Source organism: Homo sapiens, chromosome 15 (genome assembly GCF_000001405.40).
Source record: "Homo sapiens chromosome 15, GRCh38.p14 Primary Assembly".
Classification (NCBI taxonomy): Eukaryota; Metazoa; Chordata; class Mammalia; order Primates; family Hominidae; genus Homo; species Homo sapiens.
The window spans coordinates 34,911,123-34,934,431 of NC_000015.10; the positions used below are offsets into that span (position 1 = coordinate 34,911,123).

General features: G+C 37.3%; 1 protein-coding gene across 1 annotated transcript in view, besides 1 other annotated feature; it reads right to left on the reverse strand.

Annotated features, from left to right (window-relative positions):
• AQR (aquarius intron-binding spliceosomal factor) overlaps window positions 1-23,309 on the reverse strand; it is a 117,961-nt gene that overhangs the window by 59,341 nt on the left and 35,311 nt on the right. The window contains exons 11-16 of the mRNA NM_014691.3: window positions 21,196-21,312; window positions 19,136-19,249; window positions 15,913-16,016; window positions 9,210-9,312; window positions 7,136-7,256; window positions 3,916-4,057 (exon numbers count right to left, since the gene is read on the reverse strand). Coding sequence (NP_055506.1) covers window positions 3,916-4,057; window positions 7,136-7,256; window positions 9,210-9,312; window positions 15,913-16,016; window positions 19,136-19,249; window positions 21,196-21,312 — 701 coding nt within the window. The remainder of the gene's footprint in view (window positions 1-3,915; window positions 4,058-7,135; window positions 7,257-9,209; window positions 9,313-15,912; window positions 16,017-19,135; window positions 19,250-21,195; window positions 21,313-23,309) is intronic.
• Window positions 16,686-16,980: a silencer, noted in NCBI's record as "tiled region #15538; HepG2 Repressive non-DNase unmatched - State 15:Elon". NCBI's record gives its function as "represses a minimal TATA promoter and a strong SV40 promoter by Sharpr-MPRA in HepG2 cells {active_cell/tissue: HepG2}" and the evidence as "EXISTENCE:reporter gene assay evidence [ECO:0000049][PMID:27701403]".

A 23,309-nucleotide genomic window follows, 5' to 3' on the forward strand; every position in this document is an offset into this window, starting at 1 on the left:
GGTGAATCATATCCCATTGTGTGTTTTTATATATGTACACACACACCACATTTTCACATTTTCTTTATCCATTCAGCCCTTAAGTTGTTTCCACATCTTGGTTATTGTGAATAATGCTGCAATGAACACAAGAGTGCAGACATCTCTTTGGGACAGTGATTTTATTTCCTTTGGATAAACATTCAGAAGTGGGTTTGCTGGATCATATGATAGCTCTGTTTTTTAATTTTTTGAGGAACCTCCATACTGCTTTCCATAATGGCTGCACTAATTGACATTCCCACCAATAGTGTATAAGAGTTCCCTTTTCTCCACATCCTTGCAAACACTTGTTATCTTTTGACTTTTGATAACAGCCATTCTAACAGGTGTGAGGTTTGAATATCTCATTGTGGTTTTGGTATGCATTCCCTTGATGATTTGTGATGTGGAACACCTTTTCATCTATCTGTCATTTGTATGTCTTCCTACAAAAAATAGTATTGAAGTCCTTCACCCATTTTTTATTGGGTTATTTGGTCTTCTGCTATTGAGTATTATGAGTTCCTTACATATTTTGGATATTAACTTCTAATCAGACACATGGTTTGCAAATATTTTCTTCCATTCTGTAAGGCTGCCTTTTCATTTTGTTGACTGTTTCCTTTGCTGTATAGAAACTTTTCAGTTTGATGTGGTCCCCATTTACTTATTTTTGCTTTTGTTCTCCATGCTTTTGGTATCACCCAAAAATCATTGCCAAGACAAATGTTATGGAGCTTTTCCCCTATGTTTTCTTCTCGGAGTTTCATGGGTTCAGGTCTTACGTTAAAATCTTCAATCTATCTTCAGTTAACTTTTGTGTATCATGTAATATAGGGATCCTATTTCATTTTTTTACAAGTAGATATCTAGCTTTCCCAAGACCATTTTCATTTCCCCATTGTATACTCTTGGCACATGCATCGAAGATTAAATGATTGTACAAGTGTGGGTTTACTTCTGGGCTTTCTGTTCTCTTTTGTTGGTCTATGTGTTTTTATGCCAGTAACATACTGTTTTGACCACTGTAGCTTTGTAATATAATTTGAAATCAGGAAGTATGATGTCTCCAGCTTTGTTCTTCTTGATCAAGATTGCTTTAGCTATTCAGGGTCTCTTCATGTTACAAATTGGCAGCTTTTTATTTCAGCTTGGAGAACTTCCCTTAGCATTTATTGTAAGGCAGTCTAGTGGTCATAAACTCTCTCAGTTTTTGTTCTCTTCTGTTTTTCTGTCTTTATTTCTCTTTCATTTCTGAAGGACCTCTTTACTTAGTTTTATTTTATATTGTTATCCTTTTATCCTCTTCATAAAGACCATTTCAATTGTTAATATTTTATTTTCTATATTTTAAGTATTTCTATAAGCTGTTTCAAATACATTTTAGGACAAGCTATAATTTCAAAAAAAATTAAAAACAAGCAAACAAAGAATATCTATGTAAAAACCTCCTTTAGAGCATATTTAAATCATTTAAAAGATGTTGCTATGGATTGGAAGGAAAAAAAAAAACAAGCTAGTTGTAATAAACAGAACCACTAACATCCCAATGCCCATTCTTTCTTCTTATGTCAGTCTAACGAGTCTTTAGTTTTTATATTAAAAAGTTGTATTTGGGAAATACGTAACATAAAAACTGAAGCAACACTCCAAAGTTATGAAGTACTGCAGAATACAACATACCTACAAAGATAAACTGCCTCCTATGTAAAGACTTTATGTCACAACAAAAAATTGTAGCACTTCATAACATTAAAAAGAGAAACTAATTAAAAACAAAATTCTGCAATCAATGGCTTGGTTAGTATTGGGACAATGTCTAAAAGGAATTACTTAGTGGCTAAACCCTTGTGAAACAACTTCCTATCACCTCCTCCATTTTTTACAGCTTTAATGCAGTATAGTTTACATACCATAACATTTATCCACTATAAATATACAAGTCCATAGTTCTCAGTAAATTTACAGAGTTGTGCATCCATCACCACAAAATCCAGTTGTGGAACATTTCCATCATCTTTAAAAAGATCCCTCTTGTCCAGTTGCAGTCAATCCCTGTTACCAAACCCAAGCAACCGCTAATCTACTCCTCTTACCCCTTTCTCTTCTTATAAAATCTACTTGAAGCATTAAAAAGTATAGATTTCTGGCCCTTAAGCACATCCTCTCTTACTGCTGGTTAGTGGGCTTCAGCACCCTGAAAACATAATCATTGGAACCATGTAATGAGTAAAAATGCCTCTGCTGGTTTTCATCTTCAAGATACATGAAACAGAAAGAAGCCTGGCCCCCTTTTAGGTTTCGACATTTTTAATAATTTTCAATGATGGGCATTAAAAATGTAAATTTAGAAAAATCTATTATTACCAGTGTGAATGAATTAACTCCAAGAAGTGACATTTTCTTCCCCAGCCAGAAAATGGTATAATTAAAAAAAATTTTTTTTATTAACAGACCAAAAGAACTCAAAGTATTTTTGTTGCACTTGGCATTTAAGTAAAATATAAATGAATTCTATTTGTTGAACTGCCAGTTAATAAATCGCTAGTCTGCAAAATGGCCAAAATTAGGCCCAGAATCTGAGCATATAAACTCAAGGTAACCATAAATTGTAAAGAAGTTTTCTGATCAAGCACTCCCCTAGGGTGCAAACAATGGGCAACAATTTCAGCAAAGCTGTGGGCAGGAATGATCAGCCAGTGGGTATACAAATTTCACAGTGTTTGCCTGCCTACTGACTCAACTGATTATTAAGTCAAAAATGCTTTGTGTTGTATTTTATAGTCTCACCCAGAATAACTTTTCACATAACAATTAATTAAAAAATAGAACTCTCTATGAAATAAAACATGGAAGTGAAAAAATAGATCATAATCACAGTGTCTGTGGTAGCTCTCCATAATTAGTAAGCAGAAGCCTGGAAGATACCTGAATCAGTTCACATTCCAAAGCTGTTCAGCTTTTCACATAAAATGCAGTATAATCGTGTATGTATACATGGTGTCCTATTATATAATGTAATAAAAATCCATCTCATAGTATTTTACTCATTTATAATCACTTGTGATGTATAACTTACATCCATCAATTTCATACTTGATGAAATTGTGAATGAAATAGTGAATAAAGAGCATTTGCCTCAAGTCAGCCATATCTATAAAACCAAATTAACCTTACAAATTCTTGTAATGCAGAGCTGCTACAATTACCAGAATGAAAGACTTTTCTTAGCTAAAGGAATTTCAGACATGAGCTAGCAGGTGGGGAGTGGAGTTTATGCAGAAGAATTCCTCAAATAACAAGACCAACTCAACTGGCCCTAAAAGTAAATCCTGGTGATTTACTTTCTTCCACAGAATCTATGGGTAGAGAGACAGAGATTTTCTAATGTACCACCCCGGGCAATGTGCAGCAACAGCCCTAATCCTCTGTCCATTCCCCTAGAGAGGCTGCCTGAGAATACTGTGGCAACAGTGACAAGAGTAGGTGGATTAATGGTACACCCCTTTATCATAAGCTTCCTCCAGGACTTAAACTGTTCTGACCTAGTACGGGCCTGCTTGGCCAACCCCTAGCCTTCCAATCGGCCTTTAAGTAAGGTCTGACCTACTCCCTCTACATTTCCCCCTTCCCTTCTTGAGCATGACGACTTCTTCTCCCTTATCCCCAGTCTCCCACTCCCATTCCCAAGTACCCAGATATGTGGTTTATATTTTAGCACTTTTGATGTATGTTAATTCACATTTAAAAATGTCTCAAAGAGTAAATATCTCCTATTTTAGAGGGCACTTTTGTCTCAGTATATTATTTCTAAATATACTTATAAGGTTTCTGACAGAAGTTTATCAGTCACTGTTTGCATCTCTTCATTACAGGTGGAACCAATTTACTAACCATGGCTTCATTCTGCTGACACTATCTTCAATGTCCTGACGAATTTCATAAGTTGATTCTAAGCGGAAGAGGTTAAAGTTCCTTAGCAGGTAGTCATGAAGAGTCAAAAACTGCAAATTCAATTTGGGAAGAGCAAGACAACCTGAAAAGGAAAAAAACATCCATATTTCAATTTTTTTTTTTTTTTGAGACGGAGTCTCACTCTGTCACCTGCACAATCTCGTCTCACTGCAACCTCCGCCTCCCAGATTCAAGCCATTCTCCTGCCTCAGCCTCCTGAGTAGCTGGGATTACAGGCACCTGCCACCATGCCTGGCTAATTTTTTGTGTTTTTAGTAGAGACAGGGTTTCACTATGTTGGCCAGGCTGGTCTCGAACTCCTGACCTTGTGATCTGCCCACCTTGGCCTCCCAAAGTGCTGAGATTACAGGCGTGAGCCACCGCACCCGGCCTGAATTATTCTTTTAATCAGATATTTGTTCTCTGTATTAAAAAACTGGCACCTCAAAACTATAAGAATCTAATGAATGCCTGAAATGCAGCATATCTGATAACAACTTATTTTTGTTTTCACACAGATGTTAAAACCAGATTAATAAATGTTGGCTATTAAGAATTAGGGGTGAGGCCGGGCACGGTGGCTCACGCCTGTAATCCCAGCACTTTGGGAAGCCGAGGCCGGTGGATCACCTGAGGTCAGGAGTTTGAGACAGCCTAGCCAACATAGTGAAACCCCATCTCTACTAAAAATACAAAATATTAGCTGGGTGTCATGGCGGGCGCCTGTAATCCCAGCTACTCAGGAGGCTGAGGCAGGAGAATCACTTGAACCCGGGAGGCAGAGGTTGCAGGAAGCCAAGATCATGTCCTTGCACTCCAGCCTGGGCAACAAGAGCAAAACTCCGTCTCAAATAAAAAAAAAAAAAGAGAGAGAATTGGGGTGAAGGATGAGTTTTATTAATACATGTAATCTGCATATGAGTGATCTGTATGTAAACAGTACTCCTTCAAAGTATTTAAAGATACTTGTACTAACAGTCTCAAGTAGTTTAAAACTTCTTCCCTTATCACCTAATTTATATTTGGCAAAATACTGAAGTGAATAATGTTACCATAAATTTAGCCCATGACAAAATTTAGCATGAACACTGAATTATTATGTTACATTGCATAAATCAATCTCCAATGATTATTATTGTGCTCTGAACTTGCCTTCTGGCTAAACTTTAAGGACCAGACATTGTTTGTATGTTATTCCAGACTCCCCCTTTTCATTATTCTCACTTAACACTATTTCTCTTAGACAATAAGTGACCACTGAGCTGCAATATCAAAAAGGTTTTAAAAAATCCCAGAACACATTTTACTGATAAGTCATAGTCTCATCATTGTTGTCCATACTACCAAAAAAAAAAATAAACTTAAATACAACAAACATTGATGTACAAAAATTTAACATTATTTATATTAGTAAACTCTGACTTGTAATCTAACTCAATTTCTTTCAATAGCACATTTTTATTTAAAAAAATGACAACTAAAATGTCACCACTTTGCAACACTCACTGAATTAACAAATCTAGGTGTTAAATATCTATAGCTACTAATAGCACAAAAAAAGAGACAAGTAGATAGTATGTGCCTCCTGATGAAAGAACACACCACCACCAAGAATCTTGCCAAGGATAACCTTAGCCTGATCAAGCCTCTGCACAAGGTGGTACTAATTTGCAAGAAAAATAAAGAACAGAGGAACATGCTGCAATATACCATGAGTATTCAATCAGAAAAATCTATAGACTACGGGAACTCTATGATCAAACAACTCAAGTTCTTCAGCAGAACAAAAAAAAAAAAAAAAAAAGAAAGAAAGAAAAAAAGGGATGTATAGAAGGTACCAGTAAAGTAAAAGACATTTTTTTAATGAAACCTTGTAACCACCTTGTCAGCTATCCCAGAATACTCCTATGTGCCCTTTCCTGGTTACAGCTTCTTCCCTTTACCCGAAAGTAACTATTTTCTGACTTTTATAGCAATCGCTATCTTGAATTTCTTTATAGTTTTATCATCCAGGTGTGCATCCCTAGACATGAGAAAGCAACATATTAACCACTGTAAGAACATAAAAAGATATGAAGACTGCCTATGTTCTGAAATCTAGCACAATATTAGTGCACTGGGTCTATCGGAGTTATGGCTCTAGGATATGTCTTAGATTAACCATTTTAAGTAAATATACCAATACTTATACTTGTGATGTCTTTAAAACAGTCACATTTCTTCTACTAATGATGCCATTGTTCAAAAAAGTCCTGAAATTTCTTTTGAAATATACCTTCAAAGTATATCTGAATGCACTTTTGCATATACTCAGTTGTGGCAAATTCTCATCCTCAGAGGATGCGTGAAAAGTGTTTAGATCCAAATCTGGGGAAATAAGTGAACAAACTAGGCAATACCATTTTGGATCAACACTAAGGGTTTACTATCAATAAATGATAATGTCTTTTTTTTGGTGATCATTACCTGCTTTACATAGAATTCAAAAGAGCCCCTAAGAAAAGCCTTTGAAAAACAAAAGCTCTATCAAACACAGCCTATCATAGTGACAAAATGAAAGCTATACTTCATGCATTATAAGGTCTCCTTGAAAACAGTCTTATGGTCAGCTGCAGTGGTTCACACCTATAATCCCAGCACTTTGGGAGGCTGAGGTGGGCAGATCGCTTGAGCTCAGGAGTTCGAGATCAGCCTGAGCAACATGGCGAGACCTTGTCTCTACTAAAAAAAAAAAAAAAAAGCTGGGTGTGGTGGTGCACGCCTGTGGTCCCAGGTACTCGGGAGGCTGAAGTGGGAGGATCACTTGAGCCCAGAGACTGAGGCTGCAGTGAGCTGAGACTGCACCACTGCGCTCCAGCCTGGGTGACAGAGCAAGACCCTGTCTCACACTAACAAACAAAAAAAACCAAAACAGTCTTAGGGCTTTATGGTCGTATTTTTTACAGGGTGATATGTGTATAGTTAAATTTAATAAAAACCCTTAGTGCTAAAGCATTCAAAATACTAAATCTTTTCTAGCTTCTAAAGTTAACTTCTGGGCACCAGGAAATTATCCTAATGTACAGAGTAGACTCAAGTACACTGCCTATAATTGCCAATTATATATGATAAATCTGAAATTGTTTCATTGTACAGCTGAATCCATACTTCTTTACCATACCTTCTCCAGAATAGTACTCAGTTGGGACAATATTTTCATCCCATATAATTTTCTCAGTTGGATACAAAGGCATCTGGTTCAACTGCTGAATCTGAGAAATTCGACGTTCATGACGAGATACCTAAAATAAAGGAAACAAGTTCATGCAGAAGGTTAGAAGCATCTTTTTTCAATCAAAATAATTTATGGAAGAAGTTTCATGCCTATCAGTTATTGTAGCAGTTCAACAAGCGATTTTTTTTTCTTTTCCTATTTTCTCCATAGATCAAAGATGAGAAACAAACCAATGGTAATGGTCTTTGGAATCAGACAGACCTGAGTTCAAATCCCAGCTCCTCTACTTATGAGTACTGTAAAAGCTGGGCACGTTACTTTAACCTTCCTAACCTTAGTTTCCTTTTCACTAAAACAGATAAAGTGCCACACATCTCAAGTTTCCAATGAAATATGAAATAGTGTCAAAGTCCCTGGCACATGCCAAGGGTTTAAAAACCATGACACTTAGCATTAATCAATGTAGGAAAAAATAGGAGCTCTAGGTTTTGGACTATAGTTTTCATTCTTATACTAACTAGCTATACCATCTGGGAAAGTTTATTAATCTATCACCCTAGTCTTCTCACTCTATGTTCCTTTCCATGATGACCTCTGTGTACCCTTAATATTAATAATCTATCTCAAATATGAAAATAAGTGTTACACCGGGTGCAGTGGCTCATGCCTTTAATCCCAGCACTTTGGGAGGCTGAAGCAGGTGGATCACCTGAGGTGAGGAGTTCAAGACTAGCCTGACCAACATGGTGAAACCCCATCTCTACTAAAAATACAAAAATTAGCTGGGCGTGGTGGTGCACACCTGTAATCCCAGCTACTCAGGAGGCTGAGGCAAGAGAATTGCTTGAACCCGGGAGGCGGAAGTTGCAGTGAACCGAGATTGCACCATTGCACTCCAGCCTGGGGGACAGAGTGAGACTCCATCTCAAAAAAAAAAAAAAAAGAAAGAAAAAGAAAAATAAGTGTTTATCTAATAATGCTAAAATGACATATTCTTAAAATGTATCACATTCTCTTCAGTGAAGATAGTATAATTATAGAAAAAATCATGATATCTAAACAATATGTATGTTTTAACTTTTTGATCATAAATTGAATAGTAGAAGAATCCAAAGCCTGGGGAAATCCTTTAGGGAAGGGAGGAAACAAAACATAATGTTGTAGCACTATACATTTTAAAAATTATTTTCTTTTGTTGGAACTATTTAAATTTTAGGAATAAAATTCTAGCCACAAGACCTTAATAGGCACAGGATCAACGTTATCCTCAAACTTATTTTCCATTAGAAGAATTCCTGAAAACAGGTTGGGCACGGTGATTCATGCCTGTAACCCAACACTTTGGGAGGCTGAGGTGGGTCAATCACTTGAGGCCAGGAGTTCAAGACCAGCCTGGCCAACGTGGCGAAACTCTATCTTCTACTCAAAATACAAAAATTAGCTGGGAGTGGTGGCACACATCTGTAATACCAGCTACTCGGGAAGATGAGGCACGAGAATCACTTGAACCTGGGAGGCAGAGGTTGCAGTGAGCTGAGATCACGCCACTGCACTCCAGCCTGGGCGACAGAGAGAGACTCGGTATCAAAAAAACAAAACAAACAAACAAACAAAAAAACAAAAAAAGAAGAAGAATTCCTGAAAAAAATCCTCATTTCTTTCTATTGCAAAGAGTTATTATTAATTCCAAAAACCTTACTCATGAGAGGTTTTACATTGTCAGAAAATAGCACAGGAATTTTTAGGAACTGAAAGAGACAATGAAAGTGATTTGCATATAAATAGTTGCTAATAGAATGATTCATCCAGAAAGTAGTTCGAAGAGATAAAATACTTGAGTAAAGAAATTCGAAAGATGAGAAAACAAAAAATCAAATGATAATACAATTCCAAAAACAAAATGGGAATTATCTGCCTAATCTTTGGCCCACAAAAAAATCTATATGAACCTACATCTTTAAGAATGACTTTAAAAGGCAAGGAAAACCACATGCAAAATTCAGAGAACATTAATATTTACCAGCAATTCTAGAAGAAATTCTTTATCAAAAGTTGTGTCTTCATTTTTAGGAAGAGTTGGCAACAAGCAGAGGTATGATGCCACCTGGTGGAGTGTGTTTGAACTGCAGAATAGAGAACAATATTTTATTCATAGTAACTTACTTCACTTCACTTTTGAAACATGTATTTTTACAAATAGCTTAAAAAAGCAAATATAATACTATGACATGGGCAGCAAATATCAAAAACCAGCAATGAAAATTAAGGCTTTAGTGCAGGGTTCTCAAAATATTTTCTGCAAACCTCTCATTGTACCCAAGATCCTTCTGGGCAGTCCCCAAGAACACTTTTAAATATTAATACCGGCAGGGCAAGGTGGCTCAGGCCTGTAATCTCAGCACTTTGGGAGGCCGAGGCAGGCAGATCCCGGGGTCAGGAGATCGAGACTATGCTGGCTAACATGGTGAAATTCCGTCTCTACTAAAAATACAAAAAATTAGCCGGGCGTGGTGGCGGGCGCCTGTAGTCCCAGCTACTCGGGAGGCTGAGGCAGGAAAATGGCGTGAACCCGGGAGGCGGAGCTTGCAGTGAGCCGAGATCGCGCCACTGTACTCCAGCCTGGGCGACAAAGCGAGACTCCGTCTCAAAAATAATAACAATAATAATAACAATACTAAGACATTGTTTCACAGTTTTATTTAAGAATGTCCTTGATGAAGCAGTAAAAAAAAATTAATACTATTAAATTTGGACTCGAGTACCTGTTTTATTTTAAATTCTGTGACAAAATGGGAAGTACATATTTTGCACACAACTTTTACTTTAAAAAACAACAAACTGTTGGACCGGGTGCAGTGTCTCACACCTGTAATCCCAGTACTTTGAGGCCGAGGTGGGCGGATCACAAGGTCAGGAGTTTGAGATCAGCCTGGACAATATGGTGAAACCCCGTCTCTACTAAAAATACGAAAATTAGCCAGGCGTGGTGGTGAGCGCCTGTAGTCCCAGCTACTCAGGAGGCTGAGGCAGGAGAATCGCTTAAACCCAGGAGGCAGAGGTTGCAGTGAGCCGAGATTGCACCACTGCACTCCAGCCTGGGCAAAAGAGCGAGACTCCATCTCAAAAAAAAAAAAAAAAAAAATGACAAACTGTTTATACCAGCCTTGGACAAATGGCCAATTTTTTTTCAAATTTCAAATTTTGAATGAAATAAGACTATAATTTCAAGGAAAACAACTATCAGTATTTGCTGTCAATGATAAAATTTGAACTTCCATGTGAACGTGAAAAATTAGAATTTTGGAAAACTGGTATTTGCCACCATGAGCTTCATAGCTTTCCACTATTTAACTGGTTTCATCACCTCCCCAAAATCCCTTATGCTAATTTATAGCAAATCCTCCTCTCCATCCCAGCCCAGCAACCATAATCAGTTTTCTATTTGTAATTTTATCTTTTCCAGGAGGTCAAATAAATGGAATCACACATTAGGTAGTCTTTTTTCTTGCTTGTTTTTTGAGACGAGTCTCACTCTGTTGCCCAGACTGGAGTGCAGTGGCATGATCTCAGCTCACTGTTACCTCCACCTCCCGGGCTTAAGCAATCCTCCCACCTCAGCCTCCCGAATAGGTGGAACCACAGGTGCCCACCACCACACTCGGCTAAATTTTTGTATTTTTGGTAGAGACGAGGTTTCACCATGTTGCCCAGGCTGGTCTCAAACTCCTAAGCTCAAGTGATCTGCCTGCCTTGGCCTCCCAAAGTGCTGGGATTACAGGTGTGAGCCACCATGCCTGGTCTTAGGTAGGTAGCCTTTTGAATGGCTGCTTTTACTTAGCATAATGCATTTGAGCATTTGAGATTCACCCACACTGTATATTTATCTGTAGTTGGTTCCTTTACGTTGCTGAGCAGTATTTCATGATACGGCTGTATCACAGTATGTTTATTCATTCAACAGTTGTGGGATATTTGTGTAGTCCAGTTTTTGACGATTTTGAATAAAGCAACTATATTCATTTTTGTACATATTTTTGTGTGAACATAAGTTTTCACTTTTCTTGAATATATCTGTAAGTGGAAAATACTGGATCATAATGTTAAGTTCATGTTTACCTTTATAAGAAACTCAAATTTTTCCAAAGTGGCTATCCCACTTTGAATTCCCACCAGCAATTATGAGAATTCCAATTGCTCCACATCCTTGCCAAGAGTCAATATTATCCGTTTTGGGGTTGTTTTTTGTTTTTTTGGTTTTGTTGAGACAGGGTCTTACTCTGTCATCCAGGCTGAAGTACAGTGGCAAGATATAGCTCACTGCGGCCTCGATCTCCTGGGCTCAAGCAATCCTCCTATCTCAGCCTCCTGAGTAGCTGGGATTACAAGCATGTGCCACCACGCCTGGCTAATTGTTTTGATTTTTAGTAGACAAGTCATCCTTCCACCTCAGCCTCCCAAAGTGCTGGAATCACAGACGTGAACCATTGTGCCTGGCCTTATCCATTAAAAAAAAAACAAATTCTAATAGGTATGTAGTATCTTCTTATGGTTTAAATTTGCATTTCCCCAATGACTAAACATGTTAAGCATCTTTCCATGGGCTTATTGACATCTATCTACCTACTTTGGTCAAGTGTCTGTTCAAATCTTTTGTCACCTGTAAATTGTTTTATTATTATAGGAGTCCCCCCTTATCTGTGGTTTCACTTTCCCTAATATCAGTTACTCATGGTTGACCAGAGTCTGGAAATAGTTAAGTATAGTAGAATAAGATATCTTGAGAGAGAGACCACATTCGCATAACTTTTATTATAGTATATTGTTATAACTGTTCTCTTATTATTATTGTTGTTAATCTCTTACTGTGCCTACTTCATAGCTTTATCATAGGTTTTTACATTACATGTAAAAACACAGTATATATAGGGTTCAGTACAATCTACAGTTTCAGGCATCCACTGGGGTTCTGGAACACATCCCCTGCGGAAAGTAGGGGGCTGCTGTATTGAGTTCTGAGATTTCTGGATTCTATTCCTTCATCAAATACCCATTTAGCCAATATTTTCTCCTAGGCTGTAGCGTGTTTTTTAATTCTCTTATCAATGTCTTTCAAAGAGCAGAAGTCTCTTAGTTTTGATCAAGTCCAATTCATCATTTTTTTTTCCATTATGGATTGTGCTTTGGTGTCTATAGAAATCTTTGCACAAACCCACGATCACAAAAATTTTCTCCCATACTTCCTAGAAGTTTTAATTTTGACATTTAGGTCTATAATCCGATTTGAGTTAATTTATGTATATGATGCAAGGTATGGGTCAATGTTCATACTTTGCATATAGATATCTAATTGTTTCAGCACCATTGATGAAATCCTTTCTCTACTGAGTTGCCTTGACACATTAGTCAAAACTCAACTAACCATATAGGTATGGTCTATTTCTGGACTCTAATCTATTCCATTGATCTATACATCTATCCATGTATCAATACCATAATGTCTTGATTACTATAGCTTTACTGCAAGTTTTGAAATTAGTAGAAATCTTCCAACTTTGTTCTGTTACAAAATGGTTTGGGTTATTATAGTTCCTTTGCCTTTCCATGTTATTTTTAAAATAAGTTTGTCAATTTCTATAAAATATCCTGCTAGAATTATGATTGGAATTAAAATATATCTATAGATTAATTTGGGAAGGATTCACACCTTGGGTCCTCTTATCCATAAGCAAGACCTAGCTTCTAATTTTTCAGATTAATTCATTTTAATTGTACAGACTTCCTTACATGGTTTCAGATTCTACTCTGAAACTAATTTTTAAAGAAACTACCACTTGTCAAGTTTTCATAGAGTATTAAAGAAGAACATTCCCAATTATTTGATAAAGCTTATCAAAATACACTTCCCTCTGTGTAAGGCCAAATTTTCTTAATTTACTTCAACCAAAACAATATCTCACAACAAACTGAATCCAGAAGGAGATCTGCAAATCTGTCTTCAATTAAATCAGTCACAAAAATGTAAAACAATGACACTCTTTTAATGGTGCATTTTTTTCATTTTGGAGAATATGTTTTTCATTAGCAATACATATGGCTAACATATAATAGATTTCAATCAATATACTTTTTTTTTTTTTTGAGACAGAGTCTCACTCTGTTGCCCAGGCTGGAGTGCAGTGGCACGATCTTGGCTCACTGCAACCTCCACCTCCCAAGTTCAAGCCATTCTCTTGCCCCAGCCTCCCAAGTAGCTGGGATTACAGGCGTGCACCACCACACGTGGCTAATTTTTGTATTTTTAGTAAGATGGGGTTTCACCATGTTCGCCAGGCTGGTCTCGAACTCCTGACCTCAGGTGATCCGCCCACCTCAGCCTCCCAAAGTGCTGGGGTTATAGGCGTGAGCTACCACACCCGGCCTCAATTGATATTTTTAAATGAATTAATAAATGTTTAAAATCTTTCCAGTTTTTATTTCTACTATAGTGAATATAATGAATATAATACACATAAATGTTCTTTGGGATCCTCAATAATTTTTAAGAGTGTAAAGGATGTCTATGGACAAAAATAAATACCCCAGATGAACTATGCAGCTAAGCTAAATGTAAAAAAAAAAAAAAAAGGCAATAAAAGTATTTTTAAAATATAGGAAAACATTTTATAACCTTAGGGTGAGAAGGACTTCTACATAAAGCATCTAATATAGTTATTAAAAAGAATGACAGTTGTCATTAAAAAATTTAAAATATCTGTAATGACAAAAGATGTTACAAACAAAGTTAAACTGAAAGAAAATAAATGCAACACAAACTAGACAAAGGGATTAGGACCAAAAATATTAAAAGTTCTTTAAAATCAGTAAGATGACAAGCAATGAAATGCAAAATAGCAAAGGAAAATAAGAAGGTTACAGAAGAAATGTAAATGGCCAAGAAAAAAACAGAAAAATGCTTAATTTCCCAAATAAGATCAGGGAAATGCAAAGTAAAATGAGATAAAAATAGAAAAAATTAAAATCCAATTTACCCAGCATTAGTAGGGAGAAAAATAAATCCTCATACGCTGTTAGTTTAAGTGTAAATTGATAGTCTTTTCTGAAGGAAATTTAGCAATATGTAACAAGTTTTAAACGCATGCCCCGTTTGAATCAGCCATTCTGCTTCTAGGAATCAGTACGAAAAGGATGCTCATTGCAGAACTGTTTGTAAAAGCCAAAACTTAAAAATTAAAGATTCACCAAAAGGAGGCCAGGAGCGGTGGCTCATGCCTCTAATCCCAGCTCTTTGGGAGGCCGAGGCAGGATCACCTGAGGTCAGGAGTTTGAGACCAGCCTGGCCAACATGGTGAAACCCCATCTTTGCTACTAAAAATTAGCTGGGCATGGTGGCGTGTGCCTGTAGTCCCAGCTATTCGGGAGGCTGACGCAGGAGAATCACTTGAACCCAGGAGGCAGAGGTTGCAGTGAGCCGAGATCGCACCACTGCACTCCAGCCTGGGCAATAGAGCAAGACTCCGTCTCAAAAAAAACAAAAAAAAAGACTCACCAATAGGAGATTAACTTTTAAAAAAATAAGGCCGGGCGCGGTGGCTCATGCCTGTAATCCCGGCACTTTGAGAGGCTGAGGCGGGCAGATCACGAGGTCAGAGATCGAGACCATCTTGGCTAACACGGTGAAACCCCGTCTCTACTAAAAATACAAAAAATTAGACGGGCGTGGTGGCGGGCGCCTGTAGTCCCAGCTACTCAGGAGGCTGAGGCAGGAGAATGGCGTGAACCCGGGAGGCGGAACTTGCAGTGAGCCACTGCAGTCTGGCCTGGGCGAAAGAGCGAGACTCCGTCTCAAAAAAATAAAATAAAATAAAAATAAATAAAAAAATAAAAAAATAGTATGCTGGTCCTGTTTAATGGAACTCTATGTAGTTATTTAAAATAATGAAATGAATCTATGTGTTATTAATTATATTAAATCCTCATATGAGAATGAACAACCAAACCAACCTCAGTTTATTACATTTTAAATAGTCAAGGAACTAAACATAATTTATCCCAAGAGCTGGGAGATGATACAGTATAGTAGTTAAAAGTTAGGGCTTGGAAATCACACTATCCGGGTTTAAATTGTATCTCTGCCACTTACTTGCTGTGTAACCTAGGCAAATTACTTAACTATTCTATGCCCCAGATACCTTATACGTAAAATGGTACCTACTTCTAGCATGAATGTTTTCAGAGTTGTTTACACACTTAACAGAACGTCTATCACATAGTAAATAAATGTATGCCATTATTATTACTATTTTCAAAAGGATATATTAGCAGATAGCTAACTGCCAGAGGATATTACTAATTTTATAAATTTTAAACATGCAAAAATTTCCCTAAGTCACACCTCTAATATCACACATAATGAATCTTTATTGGTTTTTGTCATATGTCGTTTATGACTGATGAGATTGACCAGCTTTATATTCTACTCTGAGAAAAATTTCAGATCGAAGAAAATTGTATACGTCATAAAAAACAGAAACTTTACCAAACGTGGGTAAGTGACAAAGACACCAAACTGCTGGAGAGAAGCACTAGTTGTAGACGTCAACGAAGAGTGAAATAACAAGTAATATTATCTAAAGTACTGCAAAATGATTAAAAGCAATAAAGAAAAGTAAAATTGAGGGAGCATGATACAAAAAAAGAATATATAGTTTTTCATGTTGTCTTACCTAAGAGGTCCAAAAAACTTGACCAAGGACTCCCGAGTATCTACTTCTGCCACATTTGAGAGGGCAAAATCATAGAGTTCAGGAAAATGTGCAAAAGCAGCTCTCTAGAAAATAATGGCAAAAAATATTAATAATTAATGTCTACATATTAATATAAACATCTACTATTTAAGAATGAAAATATTTTATAAAAATATTAACGCATTTCTGTCTCTTATATGCTTCTTTTATGTGACCTCTACCTTAATCAGACAGAAGCATATAATAAAAAGAGAAAAAACTACAACTGTCATAACAGAAATGTAAAAAACATAAAGTTGGCGTTCAGCTTTTGACATCTAAAAGGATTTTCAATATATACAAAATAGCCACAAAGGCTAGCTTTATTGACAGAAGAGGAGCAAAAAACAAATACACACTTGATTATCAAGAACTGGTCGAACAAGACTAAAAGAAAGTCCCAAGGGAAACTCTGGCTGCAGAGAACTTGGAAGGAGAGACCAAAAAACTTATGCTTGTGCCTTGCTTTTGTTTGGAACTCTGGGAAAAGACCTCACAGGGTAGCACTCTCAACCAACATAGGGTAAGCTGTAAGAAAACAGAAATAGTAGTATTGCACAGAGTGACTGAGATAATATCCCTAGTCTTCCTTGGGATTTAACAACAGAGTGATTGAAATAATATCCCTGTCTTCCTTGATGCCCACATGGCACAGAAAAGATCCGGAAGTTTTCATGTGTTCCATGGTGGATGACACAGAAGGTTGCCAAGGTTGCCATGAGTGAGCTTGCCATGGGATTATGAGATTACTACACACAATGGCAAAATGACTCTGCAACCCAAGCATGAGAATGAACTGTGTAAACAAGGAAATAAACAAGTCAGTCCTCAGGAGAATGCTAGCAGCATCAAGCAAAGTTAGGGCCTCCTCAACAGGGCAAATAGCCAAGTTCCTTGGAAGCAATAATGATGCCTTGCCTGTGTCAATACAATAGACCACATGCCACACCAGCTGTGGTTATTTCAAGGGCAGAGACAGGACAAAAACACTAATGCTCTGAAAAAAGCAGGAAAAGACATCTGCGTTAATCCTTCTTCCAAAACAATAAGGCTATTTTGGTGTCTCCACATACCTAGTAGGAAAGAAGAAAAACAGAGATTTTTTTTTTTCACTTTTTACACCATTATTTATTTATTTTTTCTTCTAAAAAAAATGGGATACATGTGGAAATGTGCAGGTTTGTTACATAGGTATACATGTGCCATGGTGGTTTGCTGCACCTATTGACCTGTCCTCTAAATTCCCTCCCCTCAACTCCCATCCCCGACAGGTACTGGTGTGTGTTGTTTCCTTCTCTGTGTCCATGTGTTCTCAATGTTCAACTCCTGCTTATGAGTGAGAACATGCGGTGTTTGGTTTTTTGTTCCTGTGTTAGTTTGCTGAGGATGATAACTTCCAGCTTCATCCGTGTCCCCGCAAAGGACATGATCTCATTCCTTTTGATGGCTGCATAGTATTCCATGGTGTATATGTGCCACATTTTCTTTATCCAGTCTATCGTTGATGGGTTGGTTCCATGTCTTTAATACTATAAATAGTGCTGCAATAAACATACATGTGCATGTGCCTGTATAGCAGAATGATTTATATTCTTTAGGGTATATACCCAGTAATGGGATTGCTGGGTCAAATGGTATTTCTCGTTCTAGATCCTTGAGGGATTGCCATACTGTCTTCCACAATGGTTGAACTAATTTACACTCCCACCAACAATGTAAAAGCGTTCCTATTTCTCTGCAGCCTTGCCAGCATCTATTGTTTCCAGAGTTTTTAATAATTGCCATTCTGACTGGTGAGAGATGGTATGGTATCTCACTGTGGTTTTGACTTGCATTTCTCTGATGATGAGTGATGTTGAGTTTTTCTTCATATGTTCGTTGGCCACATAAATGTCTTCCTTTGAGAAGTGTCTGTTCATATCCGTTGCCCACTTTTTGATGGGGTTGTTTTTTTCTTGTAAATATGTTTAAGTTCCTTATAAATTCTGGATATTAGACCTTTGTTAGATGGGTAGATTGAAAAAATTTTCTCCCATTCTGTAGGTTGCCTGTTTACTCTGATGATAGTTTCTTCTGCTGTGCAGAAGCTCTTTAGTTTAATTAGATCCCATTTGTCAATTTTTGCTTTTGTTGCAATTGCTTTTGGCTTTTTTGTCATAAAGCTTTTGCCCATGCCTATGTCCTGAATGGTATCGCCTAGGTTTTCTTCTAGGGTTTTTATGTTTTGGGTTTTACTTTTAAGTCTTTAATCCACCTTGAGTTAATTTTTGTATAAGCTGTAAGGAAGGGGTCCAGTTTCATTTTCTGCATGTGGCTAGCCTGTTTTCCCAGCACCATTTACTGAATAGGAGATCCTTTCCCCATTGCTTGTTTTTGTCAGGTTTGTCAAAGATCAGATGGTTGCAGATGTGTGGTGTTATTTCTGACGTCTCTGTTCTGCTCCATTGGTCTATATGTCTGTTTTGGTACCAGTACCAAGCTGTTTTGGTTACTGTAGCCTTGTAGTATAGTTTGAAGTCAAGTAGCATGATGCCTCCAGCTTTGGAGAAGAGAGATCTCTTAAGAGATAGCTAACTTGATTACAAAAGAGTTTGAACTGAATCTTTACCCCCAACAAAAGACTCTTTAAAACAGAAATAGCTGGATTACTTTAAACAGAAATAGCTGGATTACCTTAAACTGACAAATAAAACTTCCTTCTGCCATCAGAGAAACTGGAGCTCAAGAACAAGATAAGATCAGCAAAAGAAAACAAGTGAAGATACTTTTTTGGGCGTATCTGAATTACATTGGTAAATTTCAGTCCCATCATATGTGTTCATCTTAAAAATGTGCAAAATGGTTACGCACCCCCTGCCATATGTTGAAATACTCTTTAATAAAATAAAACTGACAGCAGAGCTAATATTTAAATCCACCAAACTGGCCCAGTAACTAACATTTCTGAGTAGCAAATATCAGTATATTGATTCACAGAATGTAGACAGGTTATAAAAGAAAGTCTTATTTTTCAAGAATTCATTGGAAAAAGAAACGTTAAAAATGTTGAATATAAAAACACTATTAAATTAACATGGTTTTCAATCTGTACCTATACAAAACCTAAATTGCAGTATGATAAAACCTTATGGAGCATACACAGTCTATAATGTATTTTAATTACCTGTAGAGAAGTAATTCTATCATAGTGAATTGTGGTCATCTCATTCTCTGTCAGAGCATTTCCAGTTTGGTCATTAATTTCAAAACCAGTATAGAATTTAAGCATGTCCAAAAGCTGAAGAAACACATTTACATGTATAAATCATATGAACATAAGGGCAAGAAAGCACAATACTGTTTAAAATAATAAACAGGTTCATACAGTTTCTCAGAGGTGCTGAAAAAACTCAGGAATGTAAACATTACAAAAAAGATTTTAGAACATATCCAACTAAAAACGTTTTAGTTACATGAAAATAAAGTATGTGAATAAATTGTTAAATCTATTTCATATACATGGTCTACTTCTGCAAAGAAAAACTTATACTGCAATCCCAATACCTAAGACACGTTAAGGAGATAATCTAAAGAAGCCCAGCATTTTAATGAAACAAACAACATCTATCTTATCTATCTACATCACTGAAAACTTACAAAGCTATAGCACCAGAGGGAACTCCTGAGGTCTCTCGCTATAGGTTTTGCAATTCATAATTGGAGATACTTTTTTATACGCCACTTCTTTTTTTTTTTTTTTTTTTTTTTTTTTTTTTGGTCTGAGACGGAGTCTCGCTCTGTCACCCAGGCTGGAGTGCAGTGGTGCGATCTCGGCTCACTGCAAGCTCCGCCTCCCAGGTTCACGCCATTCTCCTGCCTCAGCCTCCGGAGTAGCTGGGACTACAGGCGCCCACCACCATGCCTGGCTAATTTTTTGCACTTTTAGTAGAGACGGGGTTTCACCGTGTTAGCCAGGATGGTCTCAATCTCCTGACCTCATGATCCGCCGGCCTCGGCCTCCCAAAGTGCTGGGATTACAGGAGTGAGCCACCGCGCCCGGCTGTGCTGCTTCTTTTAGGGAAAAACACTAAGATAGGGAAAGCTAAGTTATTCTTTTTTCTCCATGGCCATCAAAGTCCTTTGGCTTAGTTTCTCTTGCTAACGAGGCTCTGATGTCTCCCCTGTAGCAGCAGCATCAACAGAGCCTACTGGCTGCACTCACCCCAAATCTTTATTATTTTTAGATCTAATCTATGGCAGATCAGATATTAAGATTTTAATATATTTTAATATATGTGGCAAATCACTAGACAGAAATTTAAAAAGAGAATAAGAGGAATGCTCCCAGATATAAAAGAACAAAGGGGATATGTAAACACATACCAAAATTGTATCTCTAACTATGATCTCATTGAAAGATAGCATTAGAAGTTTGTTAAAAATGATTTCTCCTGCTGGGTGCAGTGGTTCACGCCTGTAATCCTAGCATTTTGGGAGGCCGAGGTGGCCAAATTGCCTTAGTTCAGGAGTGTGAGGCCACCTGGGCAACATGGTGAGACCCTGTCTCTACTAAAAATACAAAACATTACCCGGGCGTGGCGGTGCATGCCTGTAATTCCGGCTACTGGGGAGACTGAGGCAGGAGAATCACTTGAACCCAGGAGGCGGAGGTTGCAGTGAGCCGAGATCATGCCACTGCCACTGCACTCCAGCCCGGGTGACAGAGCGAACTGTGTCTCCATAAACAAAACAAAACAAAACCAAAAGAAATGCTTTCTTCTGCATGACATAACAGGAAATGTAAAATACTGTGTCTTCCTAGCCAAGACAACAAAGTTAAGTGCATTTGCAGCTTCCTTATTCAAGGCAGCATGTATACTTCTACATGATCAACTATCTGTCACCATCATCTTATAGAAAGAGTCATACTATTGGGGCACAGTTCATTTAAAATTAATGCTCATCAGCTACTATATTTCACATAAAATCAAAACTTGTGAACATGTGTGACTGTATTCCCCAAATCATAATTTAGTCCAATAATAAAAATCATACATAATTAACAAAAAGTTATATAATTACTAGAGGCAACCTATATAAGAATACATTCATTTTATATATTAAGACATGACTTTAAAATAACTAGGAGTTTGTGTTATGCCCTGATACTCCCAGTTGTGTGGCAAAGAAAAGATCAATTTAGAAAGTAAAACAATAAATACGTTCAGATACATCAATATTCACCTGGGAAAAAAGATGGCCATCCTCTTCTCTACGAACAAGATTGGAAAGGTAACAGTGAACCAGAAGGTGGGAATCATCCAGGATGGTATTAAACCAGCGCCTTGTGGGTAGCAGGGCCTGGGAAAAACAAACATCATAACAGTAAGTTTGCATCTATTCTCCACAGCTAGAAGTGAAATCTAGTGATATTTAACTCTCAAGTATTAATCACATACAAGGTACCCTCCAACCTTCCAATAGACACACTGTATACAATGCAAGAGGTCCCGTTCATGCTGTAAATAAACCCAGTGGCAATGTTTTTGGTTTTAAAAACAATAATGATGATAAAAGAACTTTTAAGATAAAATTGAAAATAAAGGCCGGGCGCGGTGGCTCATGCCTATAATCCCAGTGCTTTGGCGTGGCGGGTGGATCACCTGAGGTCAGGAGTTCAAGATTAGCCTGGGCAACAGGGCAAAACCCTATCTCTACTAAGAATACAAAAACTAGCTAGGTGTGGTGATGGGCGCCTGTAATCCCAGCTACTCGGGAAGCTGAGGCAGGGAGAATTGCTTGAACCCAGGAGGCAGAGGTTGTCTTGAACCAAGATCGTGCCACTGCACTCAAGCCTGGATTACAGAGCAAGACTGTCTCAGAAAAAAAAAGAAAGAAAGAAAATCTAGCACTAAGGAATCTCACAGATCATCTTGGCCAGTAGTTTTCCAACAAAATCCTACATAAAATCCCAATATATACCGTGTGTATGTTTAAAAGTGGAGTTGCTCTGAGAAAAAAGGAAGTACAAATCCCTATGTGGAGATTCCTGTCTTTGTTTCCTCTCCTCATGTTCCCCTACACTATAGCTTGAAAATTACTAATCTAATCAAATATCCTCATTTTATAGATGAAGTTATTGAGATCCTCAGAAGTTAGAAGTTAGTTACTGGCAGAGCTAGAATTTGAAAGATCTCATGAATGACTGCTAGTCCAATATGCTAATACTCATATCAAAAAACCACCTTACTTCTCCAGACAAGGAACAGATTTTCTTTCAATTTCTCTCATTAATGAGAGAAAGGAAAGGAAATCAATTCAATCTGAACTACATCAATTCTGTGTCTGAACTTGTCAGCAAATCCTGCACCTAAGAGTATGAAATCTTTTTTTTTTTTTAAGAATCTTTATTTTAAAAAATTGAACACAACAGCTATATTTTTCTTCACAAACATTGGGCACATTTAGAAAAGTGAGATTATTTAAAGAGACAATTATAAACCCATGACTTCACCCACTACAGAAAACTCTGTATGAGGGGTATTAAAGTATGACACAAAATAAATTGTCACTGCTGGACTCATGTTTAATAACTATACTATGTAATGTTTTTTCTACAAACAACAGCCCATGATAGATGAGTCAGTCATTTGAAAACCTGAAGGGCCAATTACTTGTGACTTCCTTCTCTAAGTGACACCTTGAAACATGTACAAAGTAAAACCAGTTTGAGGTGATGAATAAATACTTCATATAGACCAGGCACGGTGGCTCACGCCTATAATCCCAAGCAATCCTCCTACTTGGGAGGCCAAGGTGGAAGGATTGCTTGAGCCCAGGAGTTCAAGACCAGCCTGGGAAATATGGTGAAACCCCGTCTCTACAAAAAACACAAAAATTAGCTGGGCGTGGTGGTGCCCAACTGTAGTCTCAGCTGATCAGGGGTCTGAGGTGGATCAGGAGGATCACTTGAGGCCTGGGAGGCGGAGGCTGCAGTGAGCCGAGACAGCGCCACTGCATTCTAGCCTTGGTGACAGAGAAAGACCCCATCTCAAAGAAAAGAAAAGAAAAGAAGAAAAGGAAAGAAAAGAAAAGAAAAGGGAAAAGAAAAAGAATTTTTTTCTTAATGTATTTTTATTGTATTTTATTGTATTGTATTAATTTTTTATTAATGTATAATCTATATTAATAAATATTGTATACAATACTATATTATTATACAATCCATGGGCACCCAATATGTATTGTATTATTATATAATACATATGTATATAATAAATATATACATATTTACCTTTAATATATTTTAATTAATGAGAGAAAGGAAATATATACCTTTCCTTTCTCTCATTAATGTG